This window comes from Homo sapiens, chromosome 4 (genome assembly GCF_000001405.40).
Source record: "Homo sapiens chromosome 4, GRCh38.p14 Primary Assembly".
Taxonomy (NCBI): Eukaryota; Metazoa; Chordata; class Mammalia; order Primates; family Hominidae; genus Homo; species Homo sapiens.
This window is the reverse complement of record NC_000004.12, coordinates 165,728,622-165,748,810: the sequence shown is the minus strand read 5'-3', so window position 1 is coordinate 165,748,810 and position 20,189 is coordinate 165,728,622. Positions and strand designations below refer to the sequence as shown.

Here is a 20,189-nt window from a genome sequence, read left to right as displayed (position 1 = left end):
TCGAGTCTGATGAGGAGAGAATGCGGGGTTAAAAAGAGGACAGATGCACTTTGGATACTCAAGAAATTTGACTGTCACAGTCAAGAAACAGAAGATGATAGGGGTAAAATTGGGTTCAAGGAAAGTTGTATTTTTATTGTTTTGTTTTAAAAATGAAAAGAAGTTTTTAAATGTTCACAGAAAGGAGCCATTTGAGAAAGAAGGGGATTAATTACACAGGAGAGAAAAGAGACAATGGACTTTGCATGCTCCCTGGGAGGGTGGGAGGGAATTGAATTTAGGGCAGTTGTGAAAGGACTGATCTTAAAAGGGAGAGGGGACAACGTTTCTCCTCTTTAAACAAGAGAATAACAGGATGAGTGCAAATGCTATCCAATTAAGGGAATTAAGAGTATATCCATATGATACCTTCTATTTTTCTCTTTAGAAAGTGAATTCATCTGGGTCTGAAAAATGATGGGTCTGGCATGGTGTAAATTGAGAGTGAGAAAAAGTTAAGAAAAGTGTGAATAATTGAGGCTAGTGAGTGAGAAATATACTGGGCTATGCAGGCACTGCTAATGACCTAGACGATAATGATAAATTTATAGTGTTACTTTGTCCTACTATTATTTCCTTAAGTGTCATTCTAAAATGCATTCCTTTAGGATTTAGTTTTGCTAAATAAAGGCAATGAAAAGGCAGAGGAAATTGGAGTTCAGAGGGAAGAAAAGAGTAATTGAAAAAAGGGACCGTGGAATCCAAGCTGAAGAGGAGGGCAGTAAAGATAAGAAGCATTATGGTTATGGTTATGGTTATGGTCATGGTTAAAGTTATGGTCATGGTTATCGTATTGGTTATGATCACGGTTATGGTTATGGTTATAGTCAATCATGGTTATGGTCATGATTATGGCCATGGTCATGTACGTTTATTGCAGCACTATTTACAATAGCAAAGACTTGGAACCAAACCAAATGCCCATCAATGATAGGCTGGATAAAGAAAATGTGGCACATAGATTGTATTAATACTATTTTTTTAAAAAGGATGTCACTGAGACTTTGGATATTGGCTGGATTAAACAGGAATTACAGGCCTGAGAACTCAGGAATTTAATCCTACCAGTAGTCTCTTTGAAGGAGGTGGTACTGAAGGACTGGAATGGCAGACAGCTTTTGGCTGACCCAACTTAAGATGATTTGATTTAGTCACAGAAGTTGCAGAGCAGAACACAAGGCTTTGAGTAGCGTAATGACCCTGTCTCTGTGGGCCAGCCTGTTTATTATTTGTCTAAATGTTTATTACTTTGGCTACAGTCTGTTATTACATGTATTGTTCTGTGCTGTATTTGTGTATTTATATATCTCCCCTACTAGACTCTGGGTTCCCAAAGCCAAAGCCTGGGTATCATTTTTTTAACCTTGGCACTTGTGTTAGTGCTTGCCCAATAAATATTTGGTCTAATGACTTTAAACACACTATTTCTATTCCATTGCACTGTCTACTATTTAACATAGCTTATCAATGCCGTGCATTGCTTTGTTAGTTCATGATTTCTTCCAAAAAATGTTAAAGTCTAGATATATAGAAAAGTTGGATACAAACAGGAGGAAGAATGTGGAAGCATTACTTACTGTGTACGGATCAGTGATAAGAGAGAGAGGAAACCAATTAGCATTCTTTTCATTATCAGTTGTTTTCAATTGTGTTATGATGACCTGGATAGAATTTCCCATAAGAACTAAGTAGTAAAAAAACAAATAAATAAAAGAAGAATAAGCTGATTGCTTTATTGCATTTGATACTTAAGTAATCAGTCTGAAAGAATGATTTCAAGAATAAACAGCTTAATGGATTCTAGTTGATTGTTTACAGTTAATGTTTTGCAATAAAACACCTTCTTCCCTCATTTGCCTCATCAGATAATATAGCCAAGCTTTCATAAAATGAGTCCAATTTCATTCGCTATGTCAAAATTGAATCAGACCTTCAATTTTTGAGCATCACTGGTTACAGTTTACATCTTTCCTTTTGAATGAATTTTTTTCTCCTGTAATTTTTTTCTTCTATAATTCTGAGCTTTCTTTACACTAGTTGGATTGTGATTCCTGACCATGGGTTTTATAAGGGATGTTGTAAGTCAGTCGGTCATGTGTGGTTTCATCAAACACTATGAAACATATCTCTTGCCAAATTCCTGTGCTGGAAATTTGTAATAGTTTTATAGGTAGAAGTGAATAACATTTTCACAAGATGAAGTTTAAGCCAGTCTCTAACACAATTATATACTTCTCTTTTTAACCATAGATTTCTCTGTTAAAGTTTATTAATACTAAAATAAACTCACTATAATTACCACCTATCAAGTGCCTACTCTGTATTGAATGCTTGACAGTATCTTATGAAATCTTAAAAACAATTCTAAAAAGTTTTATTTACAGGTCTCAATTATAGTTGATAAAACTTAGGCTCAGAACAGCTGAATTATTTGCAGTCATAGGTTTTTAAGAGAGAACTTAGAATCTGAGACTAACCCCCATCTTCATGCTCTTTGTACTGTATCACATTACCTCCATTTTATAGCATGTCTATCAGAGTTTCCTTAGGACATGGAGGCAGATGTCCATACACACACCTGTGCCTATAAGCACGGCCAGGACATAGAAGTTATCAGGCCCGGTTGAATGAGAACTAAGCAATGATTCCAGTGAAAAATGTAATATTTAAGACTAAAATTTAGTCTTCAGTTCCATGTTAAACTTTTTGATTTTTCATTTTAATGGGAAAACTGTATTTTGTATAAAGAGATCCATCATTTCATATAGTTTTGTGTTATGGGTATACATTTTAAAATGAAAATAAAAGTAAAAGGATGTTTCATTCAAGTCAAAGAAATGTTACTTTATCCTCATTGTAAGTCCACTGAAACCAAAAACTCTGTCTTCGTCTAGGATTAAATTTCCCCGCTCAAAGAATAATGCCATGAATTTAGTGTGAGCCAAGATTCCTATACTTGACAACAGTTCCAGTTCATCACAAGCATGTATATAACCTTGGAACACGGCAAGCATGTTCTCTATTGAACCATTTTAATAATCAATGATAAATTGATTATTTAAAACAGGTCCACATTTCCTTACTTGCAATTCCCAAATCCAAACTGAAGATTTGGGTAACTGTGGTATTAGAACTTATTTGGCTAAAAAACATGCTCTGAACTGACATGAGGCTATAAATAGTCTTAATTTAACTTACTTTGTATGAATTTTCATGTGTTTCACAACAAAAGTATTAATATATTAATTAAGGGTTGCTACAGATGGGGTATAATATATGCACCACATTATTATTCTAAAATCCAAATAATTCTGAATACCAGAGCACATCTAGCCCCAAGAATTTTGGGAAATGAATTTTGGAATGTCTCTCTTTCATTTTCTGCTGTGTTGCAATTAAAGAAAAGCTGCCATGAGTGAATTTTCAGTATGATTCACTTTGAAACGATTGTGATAGTTCACTCAATTGATATATTTCAATTAGTTTGAAATAATAGTATATATTCCATAGTTAACCTATTACTGTAAAAATAAGTAGCCTTCCAGGGAAGGGGGACATTCACCCTTTGTAGAGGTAAATACAATCTTTTCTCTTTTACACTGTGCAGTCATAAGAGTTGAATGATCAGGATACAGCACACCCCCATCACACCAAAAGCTTCTTGAAGCCTTTTTGCAGATAATCCCCTTTCCACCCTCAACGTGGGAACCATTTCTGCCACTATGGAATGGACTCATGCACTGTGGATTTCTTTCAGTCTGGCTTCTTACACTCAGTACAATTTGGAGATTCATTCATCCTGTTGCATGTATAGTAGTAATTTTTTTTATTGTTGAGTAGTACTTCGTTACGTGGTATTTCACAATTTATCATTTACCTAAGAACATTTCAGCTGTTTCCAGGTTGAGTAAGTTTGCTATAAGCATTCATGTATAAATCTTGTTGTGAGTATATGTTTTCATATTTTCTTGAGCAAATACCTAGAAGTGAGCTACTGGGTCCATTTTTAAAAATACATATTTAACTATAAGAAATTGCCTAACCTGTTTTCCAAAGTGGCTTACTATTTTACACCCCACTAATAGTGTATGAGAGTACTATTTGCTGTGTGTATTCAATACAGATGATGCTGTCAAGTTTTTACAAGTTTAGCTAGTCTAGTAGATATGTAGTAGTATCTTGTGGTGGTTTTAATTTGCATTTCCCTGATGGCTAATGAAGTTCAGCATCTGTTTCTAATCTTATTAGCTATTTGTATGTCTTTTTGTGAGGTATTTGTTCAAATATTTTCCTCTTTTTTTTGCCTTTTTATTGTTGAATTATGAGATTTCTTTCTATATTCTAAATTCAATGCCTTTATCAAATATACGTATTGTGAATTATTTTTTCTATGACTTGACTTTTCATTTTCTTAGTAGTGCCTTTTGTAGAGCCAAACTTTTTACTTTTAATTAAGTCCAACTAAAAAAATTTTTATATGGTTTGTGCTTTCATTGTCCTAAGAAATCTTGGCTTATTCTAATGCATCAAAGATTTTCTTCAATTATAATTGTTTAAAAATGAAACCTACTCTCTCATAAAATATTCAGCTCTTTTTGTTTCTTTCTTTATTGAGAGACAAGTTAGGCCAAGTAAATGTTAAATTCCTTCTTAACTAGCATTTTAAAAATTAGTTCCTGAGATTTTCTATTAGAAAGCTGTACTGCCATTTTTCCAAATTTTATTATTTATCTGAGGTTGATATTCCTAGTTCTCAATGAACATACACTATACTAGAAAAAAAAAATGGAAGTATAGTTAGGGGGCAAATGTGTTAAGTGCCTACAAACCAATATAGCCTTATTTCCAAAGCTGTTCTGGGCATGGGAAGATTACTCCTGATTGGGCAAGAAAGGCGTTATGACAAAGGCAGCCCTCAAGCTGGGCTATGAATGATGGTAGAATTTTGATAGACAAGAATGAAGAGAAGGCATACCACATAGCATGTCACAAACAGGAGAAAAGAGGCAAATTTTTAAAATATAGTGTGTCAGGCAATAGTGGGCTGTGCCGTTTGGCTGGAGATCACTTCCATTTTAGGGCTAATGAGACCTAGCCCTAGGAAAAGATCTGGAGGAAGGGTGGAAGGAGAGTTCGTATTGTATTAAGTGCTGACTAGATTTTTTTTCTGATACGGCCACCCATTGATTTCAAGTAGGAAAAGAGTAGAGTCACAGAGGTGCTCTAGAAAGGTTATTCATGAAGCCTTGATCAAAGTGGTTCAAGGGGCAAAGATATTAGCTCAAGAGACTCCAATTAAGACTCTTCTGGATGGCATCAGACTTCACTGTCAAGTATTGAATTTCTCCTTTTATTTTATTTTATGTGTGCATGTTTTATCTCTCCTTCATGATTGTGAGTCCTTTTTTTATTTTTATTAATTTTTATTTTTATTTATTTTTTTTTTTTTGAGACAGAGTCTCGCCCTGCCGCGCAGGCTGGAGTGCAGTGGCGTGATCTCAGCTCACTGCAAGCTCCGCCTCCCTGGTTCATGCCATTCTCATGCGTCAGCCTCCCGAGTAGCTGGGACTACAGGCGCCTGCCACTAGGCCCGGCTAATTTTTTTTGTATTTTTAGTAGAGACAGGGTTTCACTGTGTTAGCCAGGATGTTCTTGATCTCCTGACCTCGTGATCCGCCCGCCTCGGCCTCCCAAAGTGCTGGGATTACAGGCGTGAGCCACCGCGCCCGGCCGATTGTGAGTCTTTTATAAAGGTAGGTGTTGGGTCTTATTCCTCTTCTCATAGTCTCCAGCCTCTAGTGTAAACCACACAGCAATGTTGATTGGTACACATGCCATCCAAAGAGAATGTATGAGGAGGCAGAGGGAGAGAACAGAAATTGCAAGTTCCAGGGACTTTAATTAATCCAAGGCTCATGATTAGAATTGGGTTTCAGAACATACAGCATGTTTTATCAGATTCTCGTTGATTAGAGACCAGTTTTATTTTTGACCCTGTGGATGTAGGCAAGTCGCATTGGCTCCAAGTTCTCTCAAGTTCACTTTCATTGGCTCTAAAATCAGAAGTTTAAATGAAATAATTCTAAGGTCCTTTTCATTTTGAATTTCTATACCTTGTTACAGGATCAATATATTATTTCTTTCTTACATATCTTCTAATGTGAGATTGTTTATGTGGGAGTTTTAAAAGTGGTCATTTTAAAAGTGCTCCTAAGGCCAGGCTGTAATCCCAGCATTTTGGGAGGCCTAGACCAGAGGATCACCTGAGGTCAGGACTTTGAAACCAGCCTGACGAACATGGTGAAACCCCGTCTAGTAAAAATATAAAAAAATTAGCTGGGCATGGTGGCACATGTCTGTAATCCCAGCTACTCAGGAGGCTGAGGCAGGAGAATTGTTTGAACCCTGGATGCGGAGGTTGCAGTTAGCTGAGATCGTGCCACTGCACTCCAGCCTGGGGGACAAGAGCGAAATTCTGCCTCAAAAAATAAATGAATTAAAATTAAAATTAAATTTTAAAAAAAGTGCTCCTAAAAAAATGTTATCCCAAGATTAGCATTTAGAATGAGCAACATAAGTCATGAAATGTAGAATTTATAGGGTACTGATTCTCTCTTTGGTGGTGCAGCCCTCAGCTTTTGATTCCTGTAAGTGTTTCTCAGGCTCAATTATATGTTTGCTTCAATGATGTTATTTACTGATGTAATATAATATGGTGATATTGTGACATAGTTTCAAATTCTTTATTTTTCTTTTCCTTTAAGTGCTTAAATCCATGCATCTTGCTTGTGGGTTTAGAAGACAGGGCTTATCACTTATTACTTTTCCTCTGCAATCTCTTACCCACAGACATGAAGGAAGGAAGGGAAAAAGGGAAAGAAGAAGGAAAAAAAATAGACCACTGGTTCATAGGGTGTTTTGGGGTTAGAAGGAGAAATGACTAAAGAGAAGAAAACCTGAATGGGCCCTATGAAAATTAAAAGTGAACTGTGATTTCATTCACTGTCCTCAGTTTGGTTAATAAAATTAGTTTTCTAGAAATTTACATTTCATTTATGATATACATATATGGTGAGATAATTGAAATATAATATCTCATTTGCAAGTTTCTGAATACCATTTCCCAAGGAATTATATTGAAATGTATAAATTTAATGAAAAATCGACAATACATTATATAAAATAATAGGCAAACTAGTTGCTTAATGACTTTAAAAATTAACTTTTATCTTAAACTTGAAAAAATCCTAAACTTTCAATATTTCAAGCAGTTTACTTTGCATTTTAGATAACAATAGAAATAAGAGGTTCTTCAGAAAAAATTTTCGTGTAACCAAAATTGTGCCCCAAAAAGGCTGTGAAACTCAATTGATATTGCTATCTGCTAAGACAGTAAATGAAATTATCATTTCATAAAGCCCAGAGAAAATCTGATGGTCTCAGGTAAAATGAGTGATCTTCGCAAAGGAAAAGTACTTCACAGAAGCCGGAAACTGGGATACCAAAGAGAGGAAACTGGTACTAGAATATTTCACTTAATGACTGCATGACAAGTCCATCAGAGGTCATTATTTATAGGTCATTTTCCTGTCAATTGTAGGAATCCTGGCCTTAATCATTTGTGTCAACACACACTTCCGTATAAAAACTTCCAACATGATACAGATAATTCTGAGAAACACGATATGCGTTCTGACAATTTTGTGCTTTCCTTTGGACTCTGAATTTGCCAAGATATTTCCTGTTAACTCCTTGGCATGAGTATTTTTAAGCGTCTGATATTGATGCCAGCACTGGGTGTCATGCTGGGAAAATCCAGTTTTCGTAAGGAAAATTACAAAGCATTGTGGTCAGCATTAAATTTAAAGGAACAATGTTACTTTTAAAAACATTTCTACAGTTAGATATTTCATTATTTAACATAGGTTTTCTCCTTACTTTTTTTTTCCTTTGGTAGGATGCCTTTTCCCACTCTGCAATTATTTTATGAGTGAAAGTGATAAAATTATTGCACTGTTATGTGCCATGCACTTTCACTATAGGAAGAATAGAGATTTCTCTTTCTCAGTGCAAAAAAAAATAATTCTGTATGATCAAAATTGTTAATATTCTAAAAAGTAAATGCATTCTCAGAAATTATTAGCTGTGATCGATATTCAAAAATACTCCTTAGCTGGTAATAAAGGAAATCCCTTTTTGAGGCATTGGTTTGCTCTACCTCAAAGTTACCTACTTTCAGACAAAACTTAGTCTACAAAGTGCACAAAATTTAATTTTTTAAAATTATGACCACTTGAATAAAAAATCCAATGGGGTAGTAACCTTTACCAGTGAAGCTTTTGGTTTTTATTTTAGATATATATAGGGAAGAAATTAAGAACTCTTTCTGGGCTGGGCGCGGTGGCTCACGCCTGTAATCCCAGCACTTTGGGAGGCCAAGGTGGGCGGATCACGAGGTCAGGAGATGGAGACCATTTTGGCTAACACGGTGAAACCCCGTCTCTACCAAAAATAAAAAAAATAGCTGGGCGTGGTGGTGGGCGCCTGTAGTCCCAGCTACTCGGGAGGCTGATGCAGGAGAATGGCATGAACTTGCTTGGCAGAGCTTGCAGTGAGCCAAGATCGTGCCACTGCACTGCAGCCTAGGCGACAGAGCGAGACTCTGTCTCAAAAAAAAAAGAGAACTCTTTCTGGCCCCTGTTCTTTCTGAACAGGGACATTGAGGGATAGGAGTGGTGGTAGCTAAAGTTAGTAGTTCAGAGAAATTTACAATTCCACGATGAATTAGATTGAAACTCTCAGATCAAAATAATATTTTCTGAAGGAGATATTGGTAACATTGTAAGTGATTACGTCGCTTAAAAGATTCTAGGGTTCAGATTAACATAATAGTTTACAGATAAAATAAGACATAAGTACATTATAGAAAAGAGCCAGCTACAAATCAAGACAGTTAAAATCCAGGCGGGAGAATCCTCACTTGGATGAGGCAAAAGAAAAAAATAGGGAGCAAAGATGTGAAAGAATAAGGGAAGAAATAGTTTCATAATTTAATTTGTTGACTTCTGAAGGCCAAAATGGAAAAAAGCCCTGAGAGGTCAACCAACAAAATAAAACATTAATCTTATGTAACTTATTTCTAAAGGCTCTGTCATTAACATTCTAGAAAAAATAATTTTTAAATAAAACAATCAATGAAGATTTATCAAATAATTGGGAGATAAAAATCGGACACAGGATACAAGTGTGTAGTTTTTAATAGAGCCAAACAATTATTTATTGATCAGCAGTACCAAATGCTTTCATTGGCATCTGCATGGTAAAAATTCTACAATATTTGGCAAAGGATCTTAAAATTATAGATATTCAGCAAAAGATCCTAAAATCCCAGAATGAGAATTCAAATTTATTAAACACATATTGAGCATAAACTAAATCATTATCCCTGTGCTAAGTGTGAATCACATAAATGATTAAGGCATGATCCTAATCACAGAGGAATCAATGGTGTAGTTAAGGAACTAAATAAATGTAATACAATAGGAAACTGTCATAATGATAGTGAAGAGGAAAAATAAAGTATAAGAAGAATTTCCCAGGAAACGTAGACAAGTCTCAGTGCCTCTAAGTCAGCGTTTCTCAATCTTAAATCTCATGATCTGATTTCATTTCATTTGAAACGAAGCCATGCCTTACTCAAACTACACATATAATCCTTGAGATTTTTTCTATGCTTTCATTAGAATTATGCCTTCTGCTCAGAGTTACTACACTAGATTTAGACTAGATTTGAGTAGATACATTAAAAAATTTAAGATGTAAAGTATGCTTAAGCTTAAACTAAACTTACATGCTGAAGAGGATCTGTACTCCCTTGTGTCACTTTGCCTCAAAACCACAGTCTGAAGAGCTTTTCTTATGCCCAAATGTACAGAGTGAGCTTCAGGCAAATATTTAACTAGTGTCTTCACCCAAAATTGTGGTCAAGGTAATGTAGGTGTATTCATTTTCTATTGCTGTTGTAATGAATCATCACAATCCTTGTGGCTTTAACAACAAATTCATTCTCTTACCAGCTCTGGAGATAAGAAGGCCAAAATGAGTCCTATGGAGTATTTGCACAGCCAGTTTCTTCTGGAAGCTTCAAGAGAGAGTCTGTTCCTTGCCTTTTCCAGCTTCTAGAGGCAGCCGACACTCCTTGGCTCATGGCCACATAACTCTGACCTGTGTCTATTGTCACATCACTGACTCTTCTGACCTCCTACCAGGACCCTTGTGATTACATTGGGCCTGCTTGGATAACCCAGGATAGCTTCTCCATCTTAAGGTTGTTAATCACATCTGCAGAATGCCTGTTGCCATATAAGTTAACATATTCACAGGTTCTAGGAAGAAGGACATGGACATCTTCCAGGAAGCATTATTCTGTCTACCACAGCAGGTAAATGCATGTTGTCCCAAGTAGGCTATCTTGAGATAAAATTTAACCAGATACTTCTGTGTCTCAGAGAGGATTTTACCTTTGAGGGAGGGAGGAAGCAGATAAGCCATGCTGTGATTTGGTCCAGGTAACTTCAGTTCTCTTAAAGATAGTACCTCATTTTTCTTTAAAGAGATGGCTCACTATGCCCAAAGATCCCTAACCAAGGGCCCTGCAAGCTAATTTCCAAATTTATTTTTCTAATTATCTCTATTTCTGAATGTTCCTAAGAGATGTCATTTAACATCTAAATTGTAATTTTGTAAGAAGTCAAGCTTGACTCTTACAAAACAAAAATAAAAGAGTTGTCAGGTTGGCTAACTGAACATTTCATCAAATCCTTTTGTTTTTTAAAAAAATATAAATCAATAAGTTCCCCTCCATAAAATGGCAGGACAGTGTCTGTAATTACCTAAAAGGTTACCTTGAAAAATTAGGCTTGAATACTTATGCACCTTACTGTAACAATAGACAAGGGTTTACTTTCTGAAGTGTTTTTGTTTGTACCATTGAGAAAGAGAACAATGACGTCAGTATCCACAAAGAAAAGTCATCCAGTAGGCTCTGAATTATATATTAATGGCTGACTTCAATTTAGAAAGTCACAATTATGTGTTTCAAATAAAAGGAAAAGTTCAAAAGTAGTCATTTAAACTTGTTAATAATAAGAACAAAACTTAAGTTCTGCCTTTCTTGGTATTATCAGAATTTAGATTAACCTCCCCAGAGGAAGTGGTGGAAACAGGTAGGATAAATGTTCCCAAAGAAACAATGACTCATTTGGAAGTTTGTAACTAAAATCTGGCTCAGGCAAATTAAATACTCTTACCAAAGTAAGCTGGAGAGTGGAATTTTTTTCAGGGTAATATACTATATACCCTAGTCATGTAATAACCATAGTTTTAAAAAATATGATAGATATACAGATTTTTCATTCATAATATTCTTAAGAGTGGTCTGTAGTTTGGGCTTATTCTTTAAAAGGAAAAGCAACAAAATCCACTGCAAATGATGGCAACAAATTCACTGAAGGCACTCATTGGTTAATCTTTAATAAACATTATATATGCATCATTCATTAATTCAATAAATAATTACTGAGGAATTAGCACATGGCAGGCATTATTCTTGGTGCTAGAGATATAAAGATAAACATGTAGCTTACACTAAATGAGGGATTCTCACAGTAATACCTAAATAATATTTAATACCTAAATCACATTTTAATAATAAAATAACAATCTCATTAGAAATTGTTACGTGTACAATGAAAAAAATAAAGCCAACTAATCAGTTAGGTTGTAGATGACATAGGGTATTTTAGATATAGTGTCTAGAAAGACCCCTCTGAGGAAGTGACATCTGGGCAGAGACATAAAGGAAGTGACACCACCAGCCGTGTGAAGATCAGGAGAAAGTGCATCCCAGACACAGAAGGGTAGAGAAAGCTCCTGATATGAAAGGAGTTTGGCATACTCATGAGAGTGAAGCCAATATGGCTGGCCCACGTGGGCATGAGGGAGAGCGGTAGGAGACGAGGTCTGTGGAGCAGCCTGGGGCCATGAAGTTCAAGTTGATTTTAAGGGCGTTGGAAAACCATTGGGGGTGTTTTTAGCAGAAAAATAACATGATCTGACTTCTGTTGCTGACAGTTCCCTCTAGCTGTGATGTGGTGGATAATGGCCGGCCTATGAGACAAGACACTGTTTCAGGTGAAAGATGTTAGTGACTTGAATAGCAGGTGGCATTGGAGCCTAAGGAGGGATTGAAGTTCTGAGAGCAGTTCCTCCATGATTCTGATGGAACTCTTTTCCTGAGGAAAACTGATAAAAGGAAAAGGATGGGACAAACTATAGCCCACATTACTGGTCTCAAGGCCACCAACAATACTCATTGTCTTCTTCAGTCCATTCCAGACACTGCTCACCCTCAACTCTCACTTCTGCTGTTCTGTGCAGTTTACCTGGTGGCATGACCTAGACTTTTTTTTTTTTTTTTTTTTTTTATTAGATGGAGTCTTGCTCTGTCGCCCAGGCTGGAGTGCAGTGGCACGATCTCAGCTCACTGCAAGTTCTGCCTCCCGGGTTCACGCCATTCTCTTGCCTCAGCCTCCTGAGTAGCTGGAACTATAGGCGCCCCCCACCAAGCCCAGCTAATTTTTAGTATTTTTAGTAGAAACGGGGTTTCACCGTGTTAGCCGGGATGGTCTTGATCTCCTGACCTCGTGATCCTCCCGCCTCGGCCTCCCAAAGTGCTGGGATTACAGGCGTGAGCCACCGAGCCCGGCCGGCATGACCTAGACTTTCATCCCTGAGTTATGTGAACCTCTTGTCATCATGTTCTTCTCAGGTGGCAGCACACATCCATTTGCCATCAAAATTGGGCAAGGGATGCCCAAATGGATCACCTGCTTGCCAAGCACATTCCTCCCTGCCCCTGTTGTATGTCATCACCTGTGCCTCCCTCTGATGATCATGGTCAGTTATGTCTGCCATGATGGTAACTCTTCATCTTGCCTGCTGGCACCTTGGCCTGAGGATTCTGAAGTGTGTAGGTAGCAGTGTAGCTTTAGGTTCAGTGGGATGCATACTGGGCCACGTGCTAGAAACACTCCCTTTTTGGGAACCAAGACATTTAAATGCACAGAACCCCAGAGATTTGGGGAAGGGAAGCAAACTTTCTCCAAGAGGACGAAAGAATGTTGGTTCTCAAGCCCATTCATTCTATCCCACTAGGGGCACAACATCATAAAGCTATCAATTTAGAGAGTACGCAGCATCCTAAATGATTAGGTTGGTCAGCCCTGCAGCTTCTGGGGCTGTGATATGGGACACTAGCCCTAGATTCCATGGACCTCTGCCCACTGCTTCATTTCCTTCGCTATAAAGTGAGTGTCCTTGATATTATAACAGGAATAAGTGGAGAAAGAGGCACTGGGGCATCAATGATAGGTATCAGGGGGTTTCTAATATCTGGACTACCTGCAGCTTATTTGTGTGTCCCAGCCTTATGTGTGTCTGATTCTGGATGTACCACTCCACAGCCTTGTGATACCTGAGAGCTGTCAGTCGGCAAGCACTTCCAGTAATTAGGAAAACTAGTCCCTCATTCAAACAGGGGAACTGGGAAAAGCACATCATTCCCTACATGTTATAAAGATTTTAGATGCTAAGTAGATGTTCCCTCATTGTTTCTGGCCCAAGGATTAATAAAATTATCCTCTTTCAGAGTAGGAAACTGAGATGCAGAAGAAAGCATCCCCTTTTATGGAATTGTCTAACACATCTCTTTTCTGTATTTTCACAAATGAAGCCACAGAACCCTACAGAATAATGAATCAGTTTTCCATCTGACAACTACTTACTCTAAATCCTTTCTCCATATTCAGTTCTTTCAACTGTATGTTTCCCAGACCATTCATCCTTCCCTGCACAAAGTCAAGTTCATCAACGTTCTTACTGAAATGTGATGTTGTTTATCACGAATATATATAAAGCAAAGACTCTCTAATCCTGTACTTTGCATCTGGCATTTCAAAATGAAGTCTAAAAGTGTACAATTTCTACTCCTATGCAAGTTTCCTCTTCTTAGATTTGACCTCCTATTCTGGACTATGAAGGTATGTAAAAGTCTCTTTTTTTGTGATCCAACCTATTATTTAGCTGAATGGACTATTAAGAGCACTGTGCTAGTGTGAGAAATGCTTCTGGTCTTTACTTTTACCATTCATTAGCTCCTGTACAAGAGGAGATGTATAATATTGTTCAATCACTGGAAATCTATTAGGATTATGGAATTAAAGTCTTTAGCAAACTTAAGTATCATGCTAATTTTAGTTTATGCATACCAAATGTTAGCAACTATCAACAATGCACTTCAGTTTTATTGAGTGACCTCCAATGATACAAGAACATAGAAGTGGTCCAAGAACATTCAGACCACCCACATGTAGGAATGAAGGAAAGGACTTGCATGTTAAGATCCATTTTGAGCCTCCACGGATGAGCCTCACAACTCACTGGTCAGCCTTGAAGTATGTTTTGGGAGATGTCACTTAGCATCTACTTCAATCTATTCATTTGCATGTTTTGAATCTGCTTGACTTGTCATGGAGTCCACGTTTTTTATTTCATTCAAAATGGTATCATAAGACTCTCCTTGCTTCCTTCCACTTCTCTAAGTGGAAAGGGTTGTTCTTAGTTCGTGTATGTATCTGAAAGGCAACTGGAATTGTTGAAGAGAAAGAGAAGACCTAACCTGGGCACCCTAGGAACCTACTGACATCTATAACACCACTGTGTGCTCCCTGCCTGTCCGTCTTAGTAGATCCGATGAATGCCCTAAATTCTGAATATTTACTATCTCAACCACTATCTCTAAAAAATTATGGTAATGACTTACACAATAGACATTATTCCATAAATGTTCTAATGATGCCAAGTATCTGAACAGATTGTACAACAGCAGATTTCTGCTGCAGTCAATCAACTTACCTATCTGTCTACATGTATCTATGCCACCATTTCTCCATAAATCACAGTCTAGTCCATGTTACTTCCTAAATGAGCATTGCCTCAACATAAGCCTTGGTTAGAATGCTTTTCATTGTTGGTCTTGGAGGTATATAGGTGAACCACTTATCCTGAGCCTACAGATTCATTTAATGACATTCGCTCGTTGTATAGATTTAAATAGGCTTGGAAATCTCAGGAAAATTAGCAGCCTCTATAAGCTAAGGTGGATTTTACTGTCCAGAGAACACATCTAAATATGGCAAGGGCTAGACTATGTGTGTGTGTGTGTGTGTATGTGTGTGTGTGTATGTTTTGCACATGTGTGTACAGAAAAAGATATACATAAAATATTTCATACATATATAAAATATTTCAAAGTCCAGACTATTTTGTTTAGACTTCCTTATTTCAGAAGAGGAAATTGATACAAAGGAAAGCAAAGAAGACAGATTTTTCTTGGCCCCTTCACCGCTGATGATAAAATTCCATAAGGAAGGAGGGTGTCAAGGGTTCCCACTGCCCTCTTTTGCTTCCTTGCTCTTCCCTTGAAATAAATCTCAACATACCACCGTGATCTTTGCAATTAAATTACTTTACCCAAAGCAGATGTTCGCTAGGAGCATTTTCCTTCTGCAGCATGGAGAGTCATAGTTTCTCTGCTCATTTGTCTTGTTAACTCATATCTGAGAGAACACATGGAAGTGGCATGGTCAGAAAGAAATTGGATACACAGAGAGAAAGTTTAATTTTTGCTTGTAATACTATGCTAAATTATTAAACTGAAAGTCATATAAAATAGCTAAAAGACTAAAAAAGACATAAATCAGCCACCACCTATGTATTTTATTTCATTACTTTTTTTTGTTCTAGTATTTTTCCCAGTTTGAATATTGAAACAAAATTAATTGGTTTCACTTTTAAAGCAATGTTATTATAGACATGTATTTAACATTCTGAAAAAATATTTTATATATCAAAATATGTATTTTTAAGGCAGCTCTTAATTTAATCCAGGCAGCGAAATCTACTTTCCTGTACAGCTTAATGGTTTTAGTCCATTTTAACTTTCATTAAAATTCTCAGAAATCTTTCTATTAGGTTTTAAAAATGTTTTTCTTTTTAGATTTTAAGGAGCCAAATTGTGACCTAAAATATAATAATATTTTAAATTAAATATCAATTAGTTTAGCATGAGAGTTATATAGAAAAACTAATAATATACATAACCTTAACATATTGTCAAGTTTGGGATATCTGAAATTAATATACTTTGTTCTTAATATTTTGAGAGAAATATTGTTTGAATATGTACATGCAAAAATATGCCTCAGTCATTTAGTTTTATGTAGAAATTTAAACTAAAGGCAATACATAATAAAAATATAAAAAAATTTAAGAACTTACATAAATTAAGGCCATCTTACATTCCTATGCAACTTCCATTAATTGAAGAGAGAGCAGCCTATATTTTGATTCAAACACCACTGAAAGTTTTATGAGTCCCTTGGACTTACTAATGGTGAAAATAGCTTTATTTTTCCTTTGAATCACTTCCAAGTTACTGTTAACTAATATATACATTTTAAAGTTATTGATTTTTATGACAAAGACTTTCTCCATCTGGAAAATAAACTATACATTACTGTCATATTCAAGGACAAATGTACAGGATTTGAGTTTTGCAAAGCAATAACATATGGGATTTTCAGAGGGCTTTGGCACAGGGGTTGGAAGAGAAGAGGAAGGAGTTTACCTAAGTGTGGGAACAATGTACAAGGTCACACGTGATCCGCTTTAAGATGGACTCCTGTGTCCAAACCAATTTTTAATACTACTCTATGCACATGATGCACTAGAGAAGAAAAAGAATCAACTGTCTAATGCCCCGTGAGTGTAGAGGAACCTCAACACACCTCAGAGAGAGGTTGGAACCGAATAGTCTATTCTTTGGAGAGCTTACTCTATAATTCTTTTCCTTACTTATTGACAAAAGTTTATTTGCTTTTTTAAAAATGTATCTAACATTAGCCTTCAAGTGATTTTTCCTTAGAAGTTTAAGGTTTTCATCAAAATACGTATGTTTTTCTGGACAGATGGAGACTCCATAGAGAGAAATTGAAGTAACTGAGAAAACAACACATTGCCAGTTGCTGTGTTCTAAACTAGACTCTCATTTAAGGCTGTATATGCATACTGGATAGTGGGATTTGAATGTGTATCAGTCAAAAGTGGAATGTTCTGCAATGATACCTATATTTTTACTACTACAGAAGATGTTGAATGGTATAATGTGCACAGTGCTGGAATAGAGAGCAGGAGTCCTAGGGAGGAGTTTTAGCTTTGCCATTACCTAGATGTATAATCTTGTAAAAGTGATTGGACCTTTGCAGGCCTCAGTTCCCTCATTTATAAAATGAAGAACACAGACTAGATTATTTCTAATGTCTTTCCCAACTCCAAGAATTAAGGCCCCCTCATTCCACTGTGATTCTTTTTCTTAATTAATTAATTTATTTTTATTTTATTATAAGTACCGGGATACATGTGCAGAATATGCAGGTTTCTTACATAGGTATACATGCACCAAGGTGGTTTGCTGCACCTATCAACCCGTCATCTAGGTTTTAAACCCCACATGCATTAGGTATTTGTCCTAATGTTCTCTCTCCCCTGGCCCCCCATCCACCAACAGGCCCGAGTGTGTGATGTTCTACTCCCTGTCTCCCTGTGTTCTCATTGTTCAACTCCCACTTATGAGTGAGAACATGTGGTGTTTGGTTTTCTGTTCCTGTGTTAGTTTGCTGAGCTTCCAGCTTCACACGTGTCCCTGCAAAAGACATGATCCTATTCTTTTTTCTGGCTGCATAGTATTCCATGGTGTATAAGTGCCACATTTGCTTTATCTAGTCGATCATTGATGGGCATTTGGGTTAGTTCTAAGTGTTTGCTATTGTGAATAGTGCTGCAATAAACATACATGTGCATGTGTCTTTATAGTAGAATGACTTATAATCCTTTGAATATATACCCAGTAATGGGATTGCTGGCAGATGGTATTTCTGGTTCTAGATCCTTGAGGAAAGCCAGAATTGACAAATGGGATCCAAATAAACTAAGGAGCTTCTGCATAGCAAAAGAAACTAGCATCAGGGTAAACAGGCAACCTATAGAATGGGAGAAAATTTTTGCAATCTATCCACCTGACAAAGGGCTAATATCCAGAATCTACAATGAACTTAAAAAAAATTTACAAGAAAAAAACAAACAACCCCATCAAAAAGTGGGCAAAGGATATAAACAGACACATTTCAGAAGAAGACATTCATGCGGCCAATAAACATATGAAAAAAAAGTTCAGCATCACTAGTCATTAGAGAAATGCAAATCAAAACCATGAGATACCATCACACACCAGTTAGAATGGTGATTATTAATAAAAAGTCAGGAAACAACAGATGCCGGCGAGGCTGTGAAGAAATAGGAATGCTTTTTACACTGTTGGTGGAGTGTAAATTAGTCCACTGTGATTCTTAAAGATAGGCTATAAAATTGTTTTATAATCCATTACACAATGGTTTTGAAATAGGGAATGGATTGACCAGCAACTATCCTCATTTTTTATGTGGAAGCTTGTTTGGTAATTACTTCCCAAATATCTTTCTCAGATGATGCTCTCTTTATATGGTGAAAAATAAAATTATAGTACCTTAATACAGGAATTTATTTGGCGCATCCAACTATTTTTATGTTGCATATTTAAGAATCTATTAGATCGTCAATACTCTGAATACTCTGAATTATTAAAGGAAACAGTATTTTTAAGGGAGAGTCTGATAAAGATTTTGAAGAGAGAGAAAAAAAGAGATTTGAAAAAGTATAGAAAATTGGAGAAAACATTTGATAAAGCACAAACCGTATTTGAGAAAACCAGGCCCACAAATAAGATCTGATTATCCTACCACCTGCTTCTTTAATCCTCAGGGTAAAGACTTCACAGGGCTCCATGACTTTACTGGATGCCCTATGTCTTTATTTATCTTTTGCCTTACTACAAACTTACTATGGAAGATTGAAATTCATGAGACTAGTGGTACAAAGACAGGATTTATCCCAAGGCAAAGCAATTTTGGATGTATATGTTTGTTTGAACCCTGACACTTATTTGTATTGAAATCTTTTTGACTATGTTAAGATGGACTACTGTCTTTCCAAGCTTCGCCATAATCATTTGTTGGGCCTAGCTGATAGTTGCTAATAAAACCTTCACAAGATCTCTATCTCCCAATTCGGTAAAAACAGTCTCACCTTGTTTATTTATGGTTTTAGTTGTCTAATAAAATTCAGTTTCCTGTCATGTATTGAAGCATAATTCTATAAAGAAATTATCTGCAATAAGATATGCTCTTACAAATGTATTACATACGATTTTTGAAAATTATTTATTCACTTGATTATATCAAAACTTCAGAGAGAGCTTAAGAACACATAATCGGGTTATGAGAGCTCTTTGAATATATTTCATGCTTTCATAAATTGTCTATTTTTCCCCTTTCAAAACTCAAAATGGAAGGGAGGATTTATCTGCAAGATAAATAAGAATACACTGTAGTATAGAAAGTTATACCTGTACAAAATGCATCAGAAGTGTCCATGACTAACAGCTTTATTTCTTCTCTCTTTGTCTCAAGTATTTTTCTCAGGTATTCTTTCATGTTTTTGTCTTCGTGTGACCAAACACTACAAGTTTTGTTGAGGATTTGTAAATATTCCCCACCCCTGATAAACTCTGATAATTTGTTTTTCCCATACTATTCGAAACATACTTCTGCAATGCCAAATTTGTACAGAAAACCTTTTAACAATACAACAAAATCAATTGTAAGAGAGGTAAATGAGATGTTTTAATGGGTTTATATTAAATCAGAATGAAATTTATTTTCACAAAAGGATCCTTATGTACAATTAGTTTCTTTCACAGTGTATTCCATAGTCTTATGAAAACATATCAGCAATAAAAAACTTCTAAAAATTTCTATCAGGAATGTTTTTTCATGGACAATAAATATAACTTAAGGCACTTTACGTCATATGCTTTTCCAGAGGGTTTGGTTCAACACACACTTGAGAATTATATTCAAAATATTTTCATCCAGACA

At 36.2% G+C, this 20,189-nt stretch overlaps 2 long non-coding RNA genes across 2 annotated transcripts in view, besides 1 other annotated feature; one reads left to right on the top strand and one right to left on the bottom strand.

Moving 5' to 3' along the window:
- Positions 1-20,189, bottom strand: part of LINC01179 (long intergenic non-protein coding RNA 1179) — a 78,140-nt gene that overhangs the window by 13,968 nt on the left and 43,983 nt on the right. The window contains exon 4 of the long non-coding RNA NR_121676.1: positions 15,631-15,716. This is a non-coding gene — a long non-coding RNA (long intergenic non-protein coding RNA 1179). The remainder of the gene's footprint in view (positions 1-15,630; positions 15,717-20,189) is intronic.
- Positions 5,180-5,680: an enhancer, noted in NCBI's record as "H3K4me1 hESC enhancer chr4:166664283-166664783 (GRCh37/hg19 assembly coordinates)". NCBI's record gives its function as "activates a minimal SCP1, AML or CMV promoter by ChIP-STARR-seq in naive H9 embryonic stem cells {active_cell/tissue: H9 hESC(naive)}" and the evidence as "EXISTENCE:reporter gene assay evidence [ECO:0000049][PMID:30033119]".
- On the top strand, positions 5,740-18,032 carry LOC101928131 (uncharacterized). The gene is made up of 4 exons (NR_121677.1): positions 5,740-5,792; positions 10,116-10,480; positions 13,908-14,138; positions 17,127-18,032. It is a non-coding gene; the product is annotated as an uncharacterized LOC101928131 (long non-coding RNA).